The 17,728-nt window shown below is 35.5% G+C and overlaps 1 protein-coding gene across 6 annotated transcripts in view; it reads left to right on the top strand.

Annotated features, from left to right (window-relative positions):
* Window positions 1–17,728, top strand: part of PDGFC (platelet derived growth factor C) — a 211,346-nt gene that overhangs the window by 71,639 nt on the left and 121,979 nt on the right. The window lies entirely within an intron of this gene.

The raw sequence follows: 17,728 nt of genomic DNA, 5'->3' as shown, positions 1-17,728 counted from the left end.
GATCAAGATTGGAGATTGGGATTAGTTGAAAGTAGAGATGACTGGGTAGATGAGGAGGATGAGACTTTAAGTTTCACATATCTTTGATTCAAGTTTTCTGTTTATTACTTTAATATAGATGAATAATATTTATTTAGAGATGCAGGTCATGATCTTAGTTTATAAATGAATTATGATAAGTCAGATTACCAGAAGAGTAGAAGGTTTCAGAGGGAGAGAGTGCTCAGCTATGCCTGGTTCTGCAGAAAGGTCTACTAAAATAAGGACTGAAAATTATCTTTTGGATTTTGCAATTAGGATGTCAGTAGATGCCATAAGAAAAATAATTTTAATGAATTAATTTTTTGAGATGGAGTCTCACTCTGTCACCCAGGCTGGAGTGCAATGGCACAATCTCAGCTCACTGTAACCTCCACCTGCTGGGCTCAAGCAATCCTCCTGCCTCAGCCTCCCTAGTAGCTGGGATTACAGGTGTGTGCCACCAACCTCCGCTAACTTTTGTGTTTTTAGTAGAGACGAGGTTTCACCATGTTGGCCAGGCTGGTCTCAAACTCCTGACCTCAAGTGACCCATCTGCCTTGGCCTTCCAAAGTGCTGGGATTACAGGTGTGAGCCACCACACCCAAGCTAATTTTAATTTATTAAATAAAAGTTAAGAATAGAAGTCATCGGAGTTAGTAAGTGAATGGTCCATGAAGACATATTCACAATGAGAAGAAACTCTGTGTTTAAGAAGCTTGAAACAAGAACAGCAGGACAGTAAGGCAATATCGTCATCCCTTAGGATCTGTGACTCCCATGGATACCAAAATCCAAGGTTGCTCAAGTCCCTGCTATAAAATGGTCTAATATTTTAATATAACCTACACATATTATCCTGTACACTTCACATGATTACTTGTAATACCTGATACAATCCTACACACCATTTTGTGGATTCAGTATAGTACTGGGTACGAGACAATTTCAAGTTTTGCATTTTGGAACTTTTAATTTTTCTGAATATTTTCAATCTGTGGTTGGTTGAATCCACAAATGTGGAACCCATGGATATGGAGGGCCAATTATACTATATTTTACTGGTTTTGTTTTGTTTTAATTATATGTGTAACCTGAACATGTGTAAATGCCAAAGAGATGGAAAACCTGGAAAAAGAAAAGTTCCTTAAGAACCTTGCTACATTTTTGGTATTAAGAAGAATGGGGCTGGGCTCAGTGACTCATGCCTGTAATCCCAGCACACTGGGAGACCAAGGCAGGTGGATCACTTGAGCTCAGGTGATCAAGACCAGCCTAGAAAACATGTGAAACCCCATCTCTACAAAATATAGAAAAATTAGCCAGGTGTAGTAGCGCACACCTGTAGTCCTAGCTACTCTGGGGGAGGCAGGAGGATTTCTTTGGCCCAAGAGAAGTTGAGGCTGCAGTGGCCTGTGTTTGTGCCAGTGCACGCCAGGCTGGGTGACAGAGCTAGACCCTGTCTGAAAAAAAGAGCAAAAGAAAAGAAAAAAGAAAAAAAAATGGAAGCTTCTATTATCCTGAGCATAAGAAGAGGAAATTTAAGTTGCGTAAGAGGACAAATGCCTCTTCCTCTGGAACAAAAATGACAGAGCAAACACAAGTTGCAGTTGCAGATTGTACTTGTGAAGAAGTGAAAGTGAGAGGGCTGGGAGGATAGATCTGGAAGGCTTGTCCATACCAAACTCATTTATTTTATTCTCACTTATAGGCATTTGTCAATACCTATCACTTCAGTAGTTATTAGTTATCACTTCCAATAGTGTGTTTAACTTGTTTTTTTCCTTAGTCTGTTCGAGGTGCTATAACAAACTACCATAGAAAGGGTGGCTTATACACAACAGATTTCTATTTCTCATGGTTCTTGAGGCTGGGAAGTCCAAGATTGAGGTGCTGGCAGATTCGGTGTCTGGTGAGGGCCCACTTCTCAGTTCATTGATGACCATCTTCTTCCTCACATAGTGGAAGAGGCAAGTGAGCTCTCTGGGTTTCTTTTATTCAGACATTAATTGCCTTCATGAGGCCTCCACCTTCATGACCTAATTGTTCCCAAAGGCCTCACCTCCAAATGCCATCACATTGGGGATTAGGTCTCAAGATATACGTGTTGGGAGGACACAACATTCAGTCTATAGAATTCTGCCTCTACTACTCCAGTTCATCTTCTTACATGCAAAATACATGGTTTTTGAGATTACACAGAGCTTCATATCATCCATCTCATGCAGACGGACAGCTTTATGGTGTGAAGCTCATGATTTTGTTTTGTTGTAAAGCTACTACCATCATTAGTTACTTATGTTCTTAGTTATAATGAAGAGTTAAAGGGGCTCTCTTCAGAGTGTAACTTTTTATGTGTTTTATTCATTAGCGAGTATCTTCCGTTTGTCGATTGAGTTGCTCATAGGAATCTCTAAAAGTTGAAATAATTTCAGTTATCAGTAACATGTAGACATAAAAATGCTAATGTCTGTTAATGTAGATATTGATTACAAACTTTCTCAAAGTCTATGTAGGTTTAACATTTAGTTGACTCATTTTCTCCTACTTCAATTCATTTTTAATGTAGAAAAAAATATATATAATTTTGCATCAGCCTCTGTCCTGATAGGAAAGGTGGGCTCACCCAGTCAGTTTAATGTGAGCAAAGAATCACATGATTTCAGGGCCAGAAAGTGTATGTGTAGAGAGAGGGAGGGCAGAATGAAAATTTAAAAATGGTTAACCTAAAGTGTGTTGAGTTCGAAATAATGCTTTTGACACACACACACACACACACACACACACACACATACACTCTCACACACTCTCTCATATTCTCTCTCTCTGTCTGCCTGTGTGTGTGTGTGTGTATTTATTTATATAGTTAATTCAAGCAAATTCTTTTGTTGAATTATTAAAGAAAACCCAACTTTAAAATTACTAAAAAAGTGAGACTTACTTATTTTTTAGTCAAATGTCTCTCTGTTTACCTTAATAAAACCTGAAGAATTAACCTTACTGCCTCTTCATCCCCAAATAAGTTTTCTCTCCTACTTCCTATTTTACATAGAAGTATGTACATTTTAAGATTTCTTTATTACTGCAAAGAGGTATCGACTGGGCTCCTTTAATGTGCGTATTAAATTATTCTTCTCATAAAGTGAGTGAGATCATTTCTGCCAAAAGTGATGCCATCATTTTAACAGATGGTCAATAGACACATTGTTAGTCTCTTTTTGGATCAATTTCAAATCTTGAGAGAATACTTGCTTCTAAAACAAAAAGGGTCTATTTCCAGATGTGGTACTTAGTGATATTTAGCTTCCATGGTTTTCTCATGAAGTGTCTTTTAGTGGCCGCCTATATTTTCATGGGTTCCTGTGCCTGAATGGCTGAATAACTTCCTACCCTCTATCCCCTTTAGTTGCCATAGTAACTTGCTGTTCAAATAACACAGTGGTATCTGCACAGTTTCCTCTCTATTTTCACCTCTTAATGCACTTTTAATGTGTTATGTATGACTTTTCTAAATATGTAACTGAAATTTTGATTGTCCATCTTAAATATTGTGTCAACTCTTTAAGTAAAATTTGCCCAGTTTAAATTGGGATTAAAGGTGTTCTGGGTATGTTGAAAGTCATAGCTATGATACAGGGCTGGAGGAATCCTTGTCAGGTGGCATTTCTCTTTTCAGTCTAACCTTTAAAGCTGTGTCTTGACCAGGAGCATGTAAAACTCCTATATTCCTAGGTTTTTCAGCTGTAAAGTCAAGATACCACACACCTGTCAGGGTTGTTTTGAAGAATAAATGGGAATGGACTTATGAAAGCATCTAGCACTCTTCCAGTCATAGGCCAGTTACTCATAAACATTGGTGGAGAGTTGTTAATCCTCAAAAACTTCCTCAAAACAACAGTGATTTTTATATCTAACCTTAGGCATTATAATTATTAATTTATTTTGAATTAACCTAATAAGGATTAAATTATACTCTATATGTTTCTGAATTATGTATTTGGTAAAGAGGTACATTATGTTTGATGTGTTGATCACTTTAATTAATATTTAATTAACCAGAATTCTTTAATCCTGATATCATTTTTATTATTCATTTTCTTTGTAGTCTGTAATTAAAATGATATAATCATTTCCAGTCTTACTTAATTTTTTTGGAGATTTAACTAAATTACCTTCTTTTGATTCAGTCAAATGAAAGTGGCTTAAGTATTTTTTAGCACCATTAATGTTAAATATGTTAATCATGTTTGCTTTTCCAGTAAATCAACACTCAGCTACTCTCACTGTAACTTTCCTGTTTTGGCATTTCATTCTTAACTGTTCACTTACTCTCTCTTTTTCCTGTGTGACCCGTGTCTCATATTTTTGTTTAAAACCACTTATGTATTTTATATATATGTTATATACAGGTATACTCACATATACATAGATTTTTTCATCTCTTTGAGGACTAAAGGTAGAATTTATTACTTTCAGAAACTCTGATGGCACCCACTTTTTTTTTTTTTTCTGAGACAGAGTCTTGCTCTGTCGCCCAGGCTGGAGTGCAGTGGCACGATCTCAGCTTACTGCAACCTCTGCCTCCCGGGTTCAAGCAATTCTCCTGCCTCAGCCTCCTGAGTAGCTGGGATTACAGGCACCCACCACAACACCCGGCTAATTTTTGTATTTTCAGTAGAGATGGGGTTTACCATGTTGGCCAGGCTGATCTTGAACTCCTGACCTAGTGATTTGCCCACCTCAGCCTCCCAAAGTGCTGGGATTACAGGTATGAGCCACTGCTCCCAGCTGACACCCACTCATTTTCTATTGATTTGCTATCCCAACTTTTATATAAAAGTATTTAAATTTTTGTATATCATATAGAATTTGTGTGTTAACATTATGATTTTATTTAGAAATAGAAGACCTTGAGAACTAAGTGAACAGTCCATGCTGATTTGGTCTGTCATTGCCCCTTATTAATAGTATAGCTCCCATTTACTGTCAAAAGGATGTCTGAACAGTAACTTACATAGTCATCCTGTGGGCCCTCCCCTTTAGGATGCATATAGTAGTAGCTTCTGTGAGAGGAACAGGAGAAGTGTGATATGTTATCTGAACTCAAATAATTTCTACTGTCTTACAAACCTGAGAGTAACAAATATAAAATGGACACTTCATAGTTGGATTTAATTATATACTCATTTGCATGCAGAATTAGTAAAATACATTTCCAGGGGCTGTGAAAATCCTGAGGGTCATAATAACTAGAGATTCTTCAAAGAATGTGGGAATGGATCCAAATCTACAAAAAATTGATGGAACCTAAATCTGAATCAAATGGACTAAAATGAGTGCTGAGCCTTTTTTTTGGTTTTTGTTCATTTTGTTGTTACCTTTTTAGAGAAATTCTGTCTTCTGACTTTTTAACTATAGAGTTCTTTCAATTTCCTATGCAGTGGAATCCCAATTATTCTGCAGCCTCATGCTGTCAATTTTATCTTCTATTTAACATATTTCCTGTTGTGCTGTCTGCCTCTGAACTAGAGGATTAATCAGTATTGAATACATAATTTTTGAGTTTGAAATATTGCTATATATTTTGCTCGGATTAATTGCATTATTGCTGAATTTTTAAAATTGTATTATAAACTCCTATTGTATGCATTATAGTAGTGATGGTATTAACCTTGCTGTAATGGATTATTCATAATGAACAATACTATGATGCAATGCTGAAATGGTATATGACATATTTATGGAGAGAGACTTAAATGCTAGTCTATAGCATGAATCTGGGGGAGAACTGGATAATAAAATTGCCCAGTTAGGAAGTTAGAATGATAATCTAGATGATAAAATCCTACATTATGTATTTAGACTATAATTAGGCTATTTGTTTCTGAAAAGGTTTTGAACTGTCCAGTAAAAAGTCAAGATTACTAAGATAAAATATAGTTAATCAAAACTCTAAAGGGGGATGGTTAATACACTTAAATTGTTGCTAATATACTTACAGTGATGAAGTAATAAATTTAGGCATGGATATATTTTTAGCCATGGAATAATGAATGTGAATAGCTGATCAATTAGTATAACCATTATTTTGAGGCACCTGATACTTATCAGTCACCTTGGAAGATGTCAGGGATGAAAGGTGAATGATACATGGTTGTGAACTACAGGAAACACACAGTCTAAGGAGAGGCTTCAAATTCTAGTTGTGTGAGAGAAGAAAACTAATAAAGAGAAAAAAATTATGTAACCTTTGGCATGCTTTTTGTGGATGACTTTAACATATAATGTGTGTTTATGTATAATATGTCTATAAAATTCGTATTTTCTAAGATAAAGTTTTGAATTTCTAAATTATAATTATTTTGATTGCCCCTTCAGTTTCTTAGTGTGTGTCATTGCTGGTCAATGAAGCATACTAACAGACCAATCTGAGCAGTAATTGTCCTTGCATAAGCAAGATTTTTTTTTTTTTTGATGGTAATGAGTGATTTCAAAAATACGTTTAGGCTGGGTATGGTGGTTCTTGCCTGTAATCCCAGCAACTTTGGGAGGCCAAGGTAGGAGGATCACTCGAGGCCAGGAGTTCATGACCGTCCTGGTCAACAGAGTAAGACCTCGTCTCTGCAAAACAAAATAAAATAAAATAAAATAAAAAACTTAAAAAATCATGCACCTATAGTCCCAACTGCTCAAGAAGCTGAGGTGAGATTGCTTGAGGCCAGGAGTTAGAGGCTGCAGTGTGTGATTGCCCACTGCATTCCAGCCTAGGTGACAGACCAAGACCCTGTCTTAAAAAAAAAAAAAATCTAGTTAGAGCATTTTTTACTTGTTGCGTCTATATGGTCTGTCTTACCATAGATCACCTGAACGAAGTTAAAATATGTATTGCTACTACTTAATGTAATAAAGAGAATAGCTCTTCTTACATTAATGAAACTAGGCTTTCTTCATACCTTAACCTTCCTTTTTTTCATTAAAATTCTCTTGGTGACTCACAGAAAATTTAAAAAGAATTATGACAAATACTGTTAGTCTGTTTCCAAATAGAGGATATTGCAATGTCAAATATAAGGGGTAGATCATTGAGAAGGGATTTTATAAGGTCCTGGTTAAGACTTGTCTGGTGGTATGTAATAAATCTGTGTGGTAGGGGTGGATAGTGAGGACCTTGTCAGACATCTGCCAGCTATCTACATAGTTTCACTCCAGTGCACTTAATAGGAAGGTCAAGTCCTCTAAAATACCAGCAAGTACCCAGATGTTAAAGCCTAGAATCTTGCCTTGGACGTTTGACGTAAGAAGTATAACAGCTTTAGTGATAACTATTGAGTGCTTCAACTGCAGCAAATGATACTGTGGTTCAACATGCTTATGCAGTTCAATTTATGTCATCAGCTGTAGAGAAATTATAAATCCAACCAAAATCCTTTGCCTGAATGGTTCTTTTATGGAATTCCTCTAGTAAGGCATGTTTAAGTTTCTATTTATTTTAAATTTATTATATGTTTATAGTTTTGTTTTCTCTAACTTTTCCCACCATAATAATCCTTTGGGATTTTTATATCCTTTTTTTGGATTTCCATTTCACCATTCATCAAAGATTAGGACAGCATTCTGTTATGATTTATGTTTCATTTCTATTTGAGAGTTGTGGTAAAAGAAATGGTGGTACCATCAGGAAATGAAAAAAATAATAATTAAAAGTGGCAACAACAAAAATAAATAATAAATCTTAACTAAGAATGTTTCTGGGGAAGAAACCATTAATTTTGCTTTTGATGTATTGAGTTTTAGTTGCTATCAGGATTTCCAAGCTGAGTAGAGAAGCATGTATCAGTTTTGTTAATTATGCTTTAATTAATGTATAACCTACTGAAGAAAACTCACTGTGATTATTGCAACAATATCTGCCACTATTGGTTCCCAGCATTTACTGGTGCTTTATTTATACTTTTTATTTGTTTTATGAGGTAGGTGTTATTTTCCCTCATTTTATAAAAATTAGGTATTTTAATTGATTCGGATTATATAGCTGGTAGAGCTAGCATTTGAACCCAGTCAGGACTATGTTTAGAGCTTACACAAGGCTTCTCCTTGACCTGAAGCCTGTGGCTCAGTAAATGCTGGTTTGATACACAACCAGCACGTACTTCATGTCTAGAATACTGTATTCATTGTTATCATGGCATTTTGAATAAGAGTACTAGTTTGGGTTTATGTTCCAGTTATTCAGTTATAAAACTCTTTAATGTACATTGACACCCATGGCAAGTTTCTTTTTAGGGGGAATGATCACTTGTAATCAAAGCTTTACCTTTGGCATTATGAATGGTGAATTATTCTACTATAAAGCCAGCTACCTGTAGTCACCACTATGTCTTAGGACACATATTAAAGCGAGGAGAAAGGTTTATATTGTTCAGCTGAATCTGTACTTAATGTTATTTATCTGAACACTGTAAAAGTTTGCTGAAAGGTTAATCTGAGGTTATTTCAATTTGTCTTTTCTTACTGGCAAGGTGGAAAACACTGTTTCTCAAAGCACTTCCTAAGACTTTCAGGATAATGTCCTCAGCGATGCCAAACCTCACTGAAAAGGATTTGAATGTAAACTCCAATAGAGAATCATGCTAGTCTTAAAAATTTTACCCTGTTCTTATAATCTCCTGAAACACTTTGTAAATTAAATTTAGTTCACATTTTTACCAAAAATCTTGTGCGTGTAGAGGCACATGCTGCAAAACAACATTTTGGTCAACAACAAACTGCATATACATATGAAGATGGTCCCATAGGATAATAACACTGTATTTTTCCTTTTTTTTTTTTTTTTTTTTTTTTTTTTTTTTTTTTTTTTTTTTTTGAGACGGAGTCTCGCTCTGTCGCCCAGGCTGGAGTGCAGTGGCGGGATCTCGGCTCACTGCAAGCTCCGCCTCCCGGGTTCACGCATTTTTCCTTTTTTTTATGTTTAGATGTGTTTAATTACATAAATACTTACCTTTGTATTACAGTTGCCTACAGTATTTAGTTTAGTAACATGCTGTACAGGTTTGTAGCCAAAAAGCAATAGGCTATACCATAATAGTGCAGGTGTGTAGAAGGCTTTTACATAAAGGTTTTATGACCTGTATGATGTTCACACAACAACAAAATTGCCTAGTGGTGCATTTACTATAACATATCCCATCCTTAAGGGACACGTGAATGTATATACACACACACACATATACACATATTACCAAATGGATACATACATGGTTACCTACAGAAAAATTTAAACTTTGAAATAATACTCTTAGGGAATGTTACCTTTTTAAAAGATATTCTTTAAATTTATATTTGCTATTATGTTGCCTTACCAATATTCACATGTAACATTGCACATTTCACTAAGGGATTTTTTATATTAGCATTTTAGTCAGCACATTTGTTGTCTGTTTACCCTGTGTTATGAGTTAGGTAAAAAGAGATCTTGTTCCTGCTTTAAAGAGATCTCAGTTTAGTGACAGATAAGTAAACCAACCAAAGAGGGTGCATGAACCCCGGTAGCCTGGGTAGGAAGAAGCTTTCACTCTCAGTAGTTAAGGTGATGATGGGATGGAGGACTGTTCAGGAAAGACTGGTCAGAAAAGCTCAGACTTGTCTAAGTATGGAAGGGTGGGAGGAATGAGTTAGGTGGGAAAGGGCATTCGAAACAGAGACGGCAGCGCGTGCCAAGTGCTGAAGCAGCATAGCCTGGCATGAGGAGGTACACAGTAATTTGACTCAGCTGGAATGATGGGTGCAGGGGGCGGATCCTCATTTTCAGACTCACAAGACCTCAAAGCTAAAGAAGGAACATGCTGTTTTTTTGCAGTGGACAAATCCCTGCCATTCTGCTTGCCACTTTCTGGATGAATGCTCAGGCATCTCTTCCTTTCTGATTACATCCCTGGCTGCTTTTCTATGCCACTCCATGGATTACTGCTTCAAGTTTATACCCCCTTCCCATATGATACAGTCACCTCACTTGACACATGTAGGTTCCAGACCAGTGCCCTCCCTTTCTGTAACCTCATGAACTAACAAGGTGTAGATATTTAATACATATTAACCTGGATGATAGCATGTATTAACTCAGAGGAGCTGCTTACTTATAAATAAGTAAAAGAGTTAAAAAATAATCGTCAATGAGTCAATCAAATAAGTTACCACATAGCTTTCCCCCCAATAAACCAACACTTGGACCATTCAACATTTTTTTATTCACTATGCATGCAGCTTTAGCTATGACTAAACTTTTACAAATAAGACTTGCAGGGTTACCATTTAGACGTAACATGCACTAGATTCCATTCATGGAGGAAACCAGTTGGCTGCTGTTGGAGATTGGGCAACCGACAAGATTAGAAAAAAAACCAAAACCAAAACAATGCCTGTTAGCTTCAGATCTCCTTTTAGTTTTGGAGTTTGCTGTATTAAACTGTTCCATTACACTTTGTAGAATTGTGTGGAGTGGAGTTCTGTTGATCTAAGAGCTTAATACCCATGACAAAAAGGTTCAAGTTTTGTATGTGAACTCCTACTTACAGTATTGTCATCATAGACATGAAGAATGTTAAGAAACGCAGTATGGCAATTAAGAGCACTAACCTTGAAGGTGACCCAAATTGGAATCCCAGTTTTAATTCTTGGCCAAATATTTTAACTGTACTAATTCAAAGTTTTCCTGCATGTGTCATGGCAATAATTTCTGTTCTTTTTCATTAACCTTGGGAAATTATTAATATGAAGATTACGTGACATCTTATTTTTGTATGTATCCTAGAAAGTATAAAATGTGATATGAATTAAGTTGGTATTAATAGAAAGGTATAATGTTCAGGGAAAATATCAGACCTGTATGTGAGATTTTGTAATCACCACTGGGTATTTGAGTAGAAGAAAACATGAGAAAAAAATAATAATGTGCATAGTGTTAAGAAATCATGGCTGAGAAGAAGGTAGGCCTCTGTCTGGGCAAGAAAACTAGGTTTTTGAAGATAATAGCTTTGAGTGAAAAATGAGAGATTTGTAATCATCCAGAATAATGGTGTCTGAATTCTTCAGCACGTGGTAGTAGACACACGACGTGTTTGTTGTCTCAGAATTCTGAGGGCAATTCACAAAGAAATTGTTACAAACCATGAATCATTACACAACATTAGAATACCTCAAAAGAGTGAGTAACTCAAAGCTCTTAACAGATCTTGAGAAACTTGAAATAATAGGCATGTTTTTCTTGGGTGAGCAATCTCTCTAATTATGTGAGAGTTGTGTGTGCCCTTTCCTGCTCCACCATATTATGAATGTTTAGTGTAGAGAATTACTGAAGGTTTGCACACCAATTGGTAAAAAATGCAAAAATTACCAGTAGTAAATATACAAGATTGTTTGGGTAGGGGCAGGGACATTGGAGAAAAAATGAAAGACTAAGAAAAAAGTGATGTGAATTTTAGAAAAACACAAAGATTAAGCAAGGTTGAGTGTTTTGAGAGGAAATCAAAGCAACAGGTAAAAGAAACCAGTAACACAGTTAGTTGACTTTTTTAAACTGAGAGATTTCTCAAGAAAGATTTCTTGATAATAGAGTAAGAAAGAAACATCCTGTGATGGGGATGTTCTTTACAGAATATTTTGATCTCCAATTTAATTTTATGTCTGAATTTATAATCAGAAAAGGTCTTGTTTCCTTATGGTTTCATCAAACTAAATTAAATTGTAATTGCTCAGATGGTATAAATATGTGCACAAAGTTGATTATTGAACATTGTATAGTGGCCAGTTGGCTAATTGTAACTCTAAATGACACCATAATATGAAGTTTTGTTTTTATTTATATTGTTCTCTAAATACCAGGGTGAGTATGATGTTTCTGATAAGTGCATAAAGAAAACATGAACTTATAACTGGAGCAATAGGGCAAGGCTGCATCTTTATTACTTAACTCTCCAGTTGTAAAAACAAGTACTACGGTTGACAAGACACCTCTCCATGGGTACCTCCGTAATTGTCATAAATTTAAATTTATTGTAATGTTTTAGACCTGTTTGAACTGTAGTACACAGCCCATTATAACCATGTTTGAATTATATTTATCAATCTTTTTTTTTTTTTTTTTTAAGACGGGGTTTCACTCTGTTGCCCAGGCTGGAGTGCAGTGGCAGGATCTCAGCTCACTGCAGCCTCAACCTCCTGGGCTCAAGCGATTCTCCCACCTCAGCCTCCCAAGTACCTGGGACTGCAGGCACATGCCACCACTCCTGGCTAGTATTTTTTGCAGATTTTCACAGAGACAGATTTTCGCCATGTTGCACTCTTGAGCTCAAGTGTTCGGCCCACCTCAGCCTCCCAAAGTGAGGGGTTATAGGCCTGTGGCACTACACCCAGAAGACAATAAAATATTTTTTAAAAGTGGATTATTTGTAAGGGAGATATCTATTAGAAAGCTTTTTGAACTATTCACGGAATAAGTTTCAATTTTCTATTTTTTCCTACTAGTTTAATATTGAATAAAAATGTATACATTATTCTTCTCCTGGTATCAATCAACCTGGACTCCTACATTTTCTTTGCTAATGATTGATTTCTTTTTTGGAATGATACGATTACTTTTGTGACATTGTCACTTAAACAATTACTAAGAAAAAGTTAAAATATATGACCTCAGGTAGACTCTTAATTTTCATATTTAATGAAAACATGCATAACCAGTTCTTACTCCCCAAAAATATGTAAAATTACAAATGAAAATGGCATGATGACATTAAAATGAGCAGCTTTGTATATTTTCTGCCTTGTTACTAAACAGCAGAGATAAAGGAAGTCTCCTTATCAAGTTAACAGAATTTAAATAATCTATGTAGATAATTATTATAAATTATTTGTTAATGTAAATCAGGTTTTTAGACCTATAGTAAGCTGTGATGCTATGATATAACATCCTGAATGATGTTGATTCATTTTTACATCTTAATGAAGTATCATCTTCATTAGAATATTTGAATATAGAAATGTTTCTTTTTCATTTTTAGAAATAACTTTGTTAATAGTGGCTCATATGGCTTTGTTTTAGGATGTGTATTATGTGTGAATACATACAAAAATTCTAATAAAATATCCTAACATCAGTTAAGATACTTCTAGCCACAGGTAAGAAAAGACACAAATCATAGCTTAAATATTGTTTATTGTCTCATATAATAAGATGTCTATAGTTAGCACAGTTTCAGGGTTAATTCAAGGGCTCAGTGGCATCATCACCAGGTTAGTTAAATCTTTTATTTTTTCCTGTCATCCTCAGCCTGTGAACTTCAGACAGTAGGCCTGTTCCAGCATCACCTCCTCACATAGTTGTGTCCAGATATAGAAATGGGAAGCTTCTCCACAACCATTTCTTTGCAAGTGCAAGTTCTCCATTATTGGTCACAGTCAGATCTTATGATTCTGTTTAGAACAGTCACTAGCCTAGGGGAAATGAGGCAACCATTAATTATATTCAACTGTGATTCAGAGCTGGGGGCATGTTCGACCTTCATGAAGGTCATGGTCAGTTTGAGGTGAGAGAATAAAATCAAGATTCTGCTTAAAGAGTATGCTGAGTGTAGGACGATAGTTTGGTTGGTGATAAAAGTATGTCTGCCAAATAGCAATTCAGAATATTTTCTAGAATCTACTAAACAAAACTTTATTTTGTTTTAAGCACACAGTTAAAAAATATTAATCTAAACTAGAAGTACAAGTCTCATGGGTAAAATCTTTTGGGATGAAGTAGCAGTTAACCTTTTGGTCTTTTAGGAATACTGCACTTATTGCAAGAGAGTTATAGCACATTGGCATTTTACTAACAGAAAACTGAAGTCTCTAAAAAATTGCCCTTCCCACAATGTTATTACACCAATAATTTAGATATTATGTATAAGAATTTGCCACAACTTTCACATTTTATCTTCTAATACCTCCTTTTCTTATTATTCCCCACTGTGTTCCATTTCTGCCCTCTCTCAAGTGTTATTTCCTGCTAAGCCTTTTATATTTTGACTTTTTAAATGCAAGATTTTAATAATTTAACAAGCATTTTAGCTGATAATTTTCACTGCAGGAGCTGTGAACTGTAATGCAAGACTAAATATCAGTCTAAGAGCTAGGATACCTAAGAAGTGCCAAAATTATTTTGTTATATTGGAAGTTGTAAATAGGGAGGATAGAGGCCTGAATTTTATTTATTTATTTATTTATTTATTTGGACAAGATCTTGCCCAGTCTGCAGACTAGAGTGCAGTGGCATTTATATCTCCCTGCCACCTCCAAATCCTGGGCATAGACAGTTCTCCCACCTCAGCCTCCTAAGTAATACAGGCACATAACACCATGCCTGGCTAATTTTTTGTGATTTTTGTAGAGGTGGAGTCTCGCTGTGTTGCCCAGGCTGGCCTTGAGCTCCTGGCCCAAGCAGTACTCTCACCTCAGCCTCCCAAAGGTGTGGGGTTACAGGTGTGAACCACTTAGCTTGGCCATGACCTAAATCTTATTACACAAAATGAAATGTCAGCAATTTGACAAAAAAAAAGCATACTCTAAATTATTGCTGAAGTTTATATTGTTATAGACATTGATATTTAAATTGTTAGAAATTAAAGGCATAAAGCCATATATGCTGCTTTTAAAGGGTGCACAAATATTCTAAGCCTCCTTTTAAAGAATTATTATAGTCTACAAAATTTTAAAATTTTCATTTTCATTGATCAGTGTATTAAATGTAATGCCAATTATTTATTTTAGGCCATTGATGTAATGCAATGCAGTTACATTGATGGAATTCACTGTATCTTAGTAAAATGGAAGAGACAAGATGAAATAAGCACACATATATCTTCTGTTATGGAGTAGAACTGAGGCTAAACTGTGTAGTGTTTGGATATTACTAAATGCTTAGGTAAAGTGTGTGTGTGTGTGTGTGTGTGTGTGTATGTATGCACATACATGCACAAGTATATTTTTCTCCCCATATTCTATTTCTGCCTAGGTTACGACATTCATTCTGAAATGTCTAACACCAGAAACATTATTGTTATGATCTCTCCAAATATGAAAAACAAGTAAAAGAAGCTAAAGGGCAAAAGTAGGGAATTTACCTATGTAATAATTGAGTTTATATTAAGAGTTTATTTTATGGAATTAGAAATGAGTTTGTGATAGACTGGATGCCATGTTGTATATGTATCTTGTTAAAACTTGTTTGTAAACAGGTTTGAAAACTTGATCCATCGTGCAGTAGAGTCACATATTCATTAATCTTTTTGCATGTTCAATGAAATGCTTTCTATTGAACTAGTTTCCTATTATGTATATGTGGTATCAGTGTATTTGGATATAGACAAATTGAATTTCACAATGTGTTTTAAATATTTAAATTCTTCTTTTTACTTTTGAAAACAATTAGCAAATCAGTATACAAATACCAGTAAAATGTGTTCAAAGATAATGTGGACAAATACAAATATTGAAATTTTTCATTACTTTTACTTCTGCATCTTTTGCATAGGAAGTATGAAAAGGCAGTATCTAGTGGTTGTTTCACTTCTTTGGATCTAGATACTCGACTGTCTAAGATATTAAACTGTTAGATATATGGCTGGAAACTCCTATCTGTGAGTCAGAGTTTTCTTCAGGCTGGTAAAATGTAGCTGTCTTCCATGCTAGGTTCGGTGTGATCTGCAAAAAGGCACTTTCTTTATTGCCAGCCCACTGAATTTCTGAATGATGACCTTGCAACCCATAACAAAGTCTTTCATGCAAGCCTCGACTGGCTGGATATGGGGTCTGTTTCTTGTCTCTTTTACCTTGGAATCAGCCCTGAGGGTTGACCTTACACATTTTTATCATTCTAGCTGAGAAAGAAGGAAGTCAGGTAAGAAGATAGGAAATGCCCTTCCCAAATAGGAAAAGAAGGCACCAACTCTCTTTGCTGTGTCTGCATTTCCCTAGCTTTAGGAAATGCATCTTGTTTAGCTTTCCTTCTTGGAGGCATCCTTTAAGTAGGACATGCGTTCCTTGAGGATCCAGAGAAGAATAGTTGCTTTTAGTTCTTGTACTAAAAATCAAGAGTGGATTAATTCTAAGTGGCCCATTTTGATAGAGATCCCTAATTTCCTTCTGAAGATTTGTGTGAGCATTGTTTGTGACCAGAGACCTTTATCTTGAGGATATACATGGATTCAGGAGAGATAGTCTTAACATAAGTCAATGCCAATTGAGAAGTAGCACAGAATCCCTAAGTGACCCCCCTCAGGTATAATAATATTGTTAATTACATTTTCAATCAATTGAAATAACAATTTAGAAAATAATGGTTTAGATAAACTCCTATCCAGGTTTTCTTTAAGGTACACTGAGAGAAAGAGAAAGAGAAAGAAATCTCAGATCATCAAAGATATCCTTAATAAAGTTAAGAAAACACACTAAGACTGCTGTAGTTCAATGATGTATAGTAGTAAATGGTCACTGGCGGTATTCTAGTTAATTTGTTTTCTTCTGCATATTGTTAAGTGGGCAGTGTAATTAATCAAAGCAATCAATCAATACTAACTTAATTTGTATTTTTTAGGTATTTCCAAAATAATCTAACATAAACCTTGCCTCAAATGTATTATTCTTGGGGTAAAGTAAGTATGAAAGAGAATGCAATGTAGCAGGCTGTGATGAGTTGTACACTAAGAGTCTAAAAATCACCTGGGTTCATTTTTAGTTTCAGTACCCAAAACCCAATGACTTTAATCCAATGACTTTAATACAATCTTTCCATTGAGTATAATCAAATATGTTTCATATGTAAACAGAGTTGGACCTAGTGATTTCTAAAAAATTCTTAACTGTGCAATATTATGAAATAATAGAAAAATATAACACTATAGAAAAGCACTCAGTTTAGACTAATATAAAGACAGAATCAGAAAAGTGCTTAGAAATGGTACTACAGCTAGGGCAGGGTTGACTTCAAGTGAGAGTTACTCAGTGGCATTTTCTTTTTTTTTTTTTTTTGGAGACAGAATCTTGCTCTGTCGCTCAGGCTGGATTGCAGTGGCGTGATTTTGGCTCACTGCAAGCTCCGCCTCCCAGGTTCACACCATTCTCCTGCCTCAGCCTCCCAAGTAGCTGGGACTACAGGTGTCTGCCACCATGTCCGGCTAATTTTTTGTATTTTTAGTAGAGACGGGGTTTCACCTTGTTAGCCAGGATGGTCTCGATCTCCTGACCTTATGATCTGCCTGCCTTGGCCTCCCAAAGTGCTGGGATTACAGGCGTGAGCCACCATGCCCAGCCTGAGTGACATTTTCTAAGTTAAATTTTTGAATCTGAAAGATGCAGGTGTCAAATAATACAGTCACAACTCAAACTTGTGCTTAAAATTGTTTTAGAGAAATATATTTCAGAATTTACTGTCACTTTTAGTCAAAAGATTGACATAGAATACAATGTAAGCATTTTTAAGAAAGGCCAACAATCCCTATCAACATGCAGTTGTCTATAATTACTTTACAAGTGTTATGGGTGATACATGTTAACCTTCTATACCCTGGATATTTATATATTAAGGACAGTAATCTTAACTATTTCAAAATATGTTTTTGAAATCTTTCTTAGGTTGTCTTATACTTAGAACATTAAATGTAAGTTTAAGAATAATTACCTA

This window comes from Homo sapiens, chromosome 4 (assembly GCF_000001405.40).
Source record: "Homo sapiens chromosome 4, GRCh38.p14 Primary Assembly".
Taxonomy (NCBI): domain Eukaryota; kingdom Metazoa; phylum Chordata; class Mammalia; order Primates; family Hominidae; genus Homo; species Homo sapiens.
The sequence above is the reverse complement of the archived record's forward strand: the minus strand, read 5'-3'. Positions and strand labels throughout refer to the sequence as shown.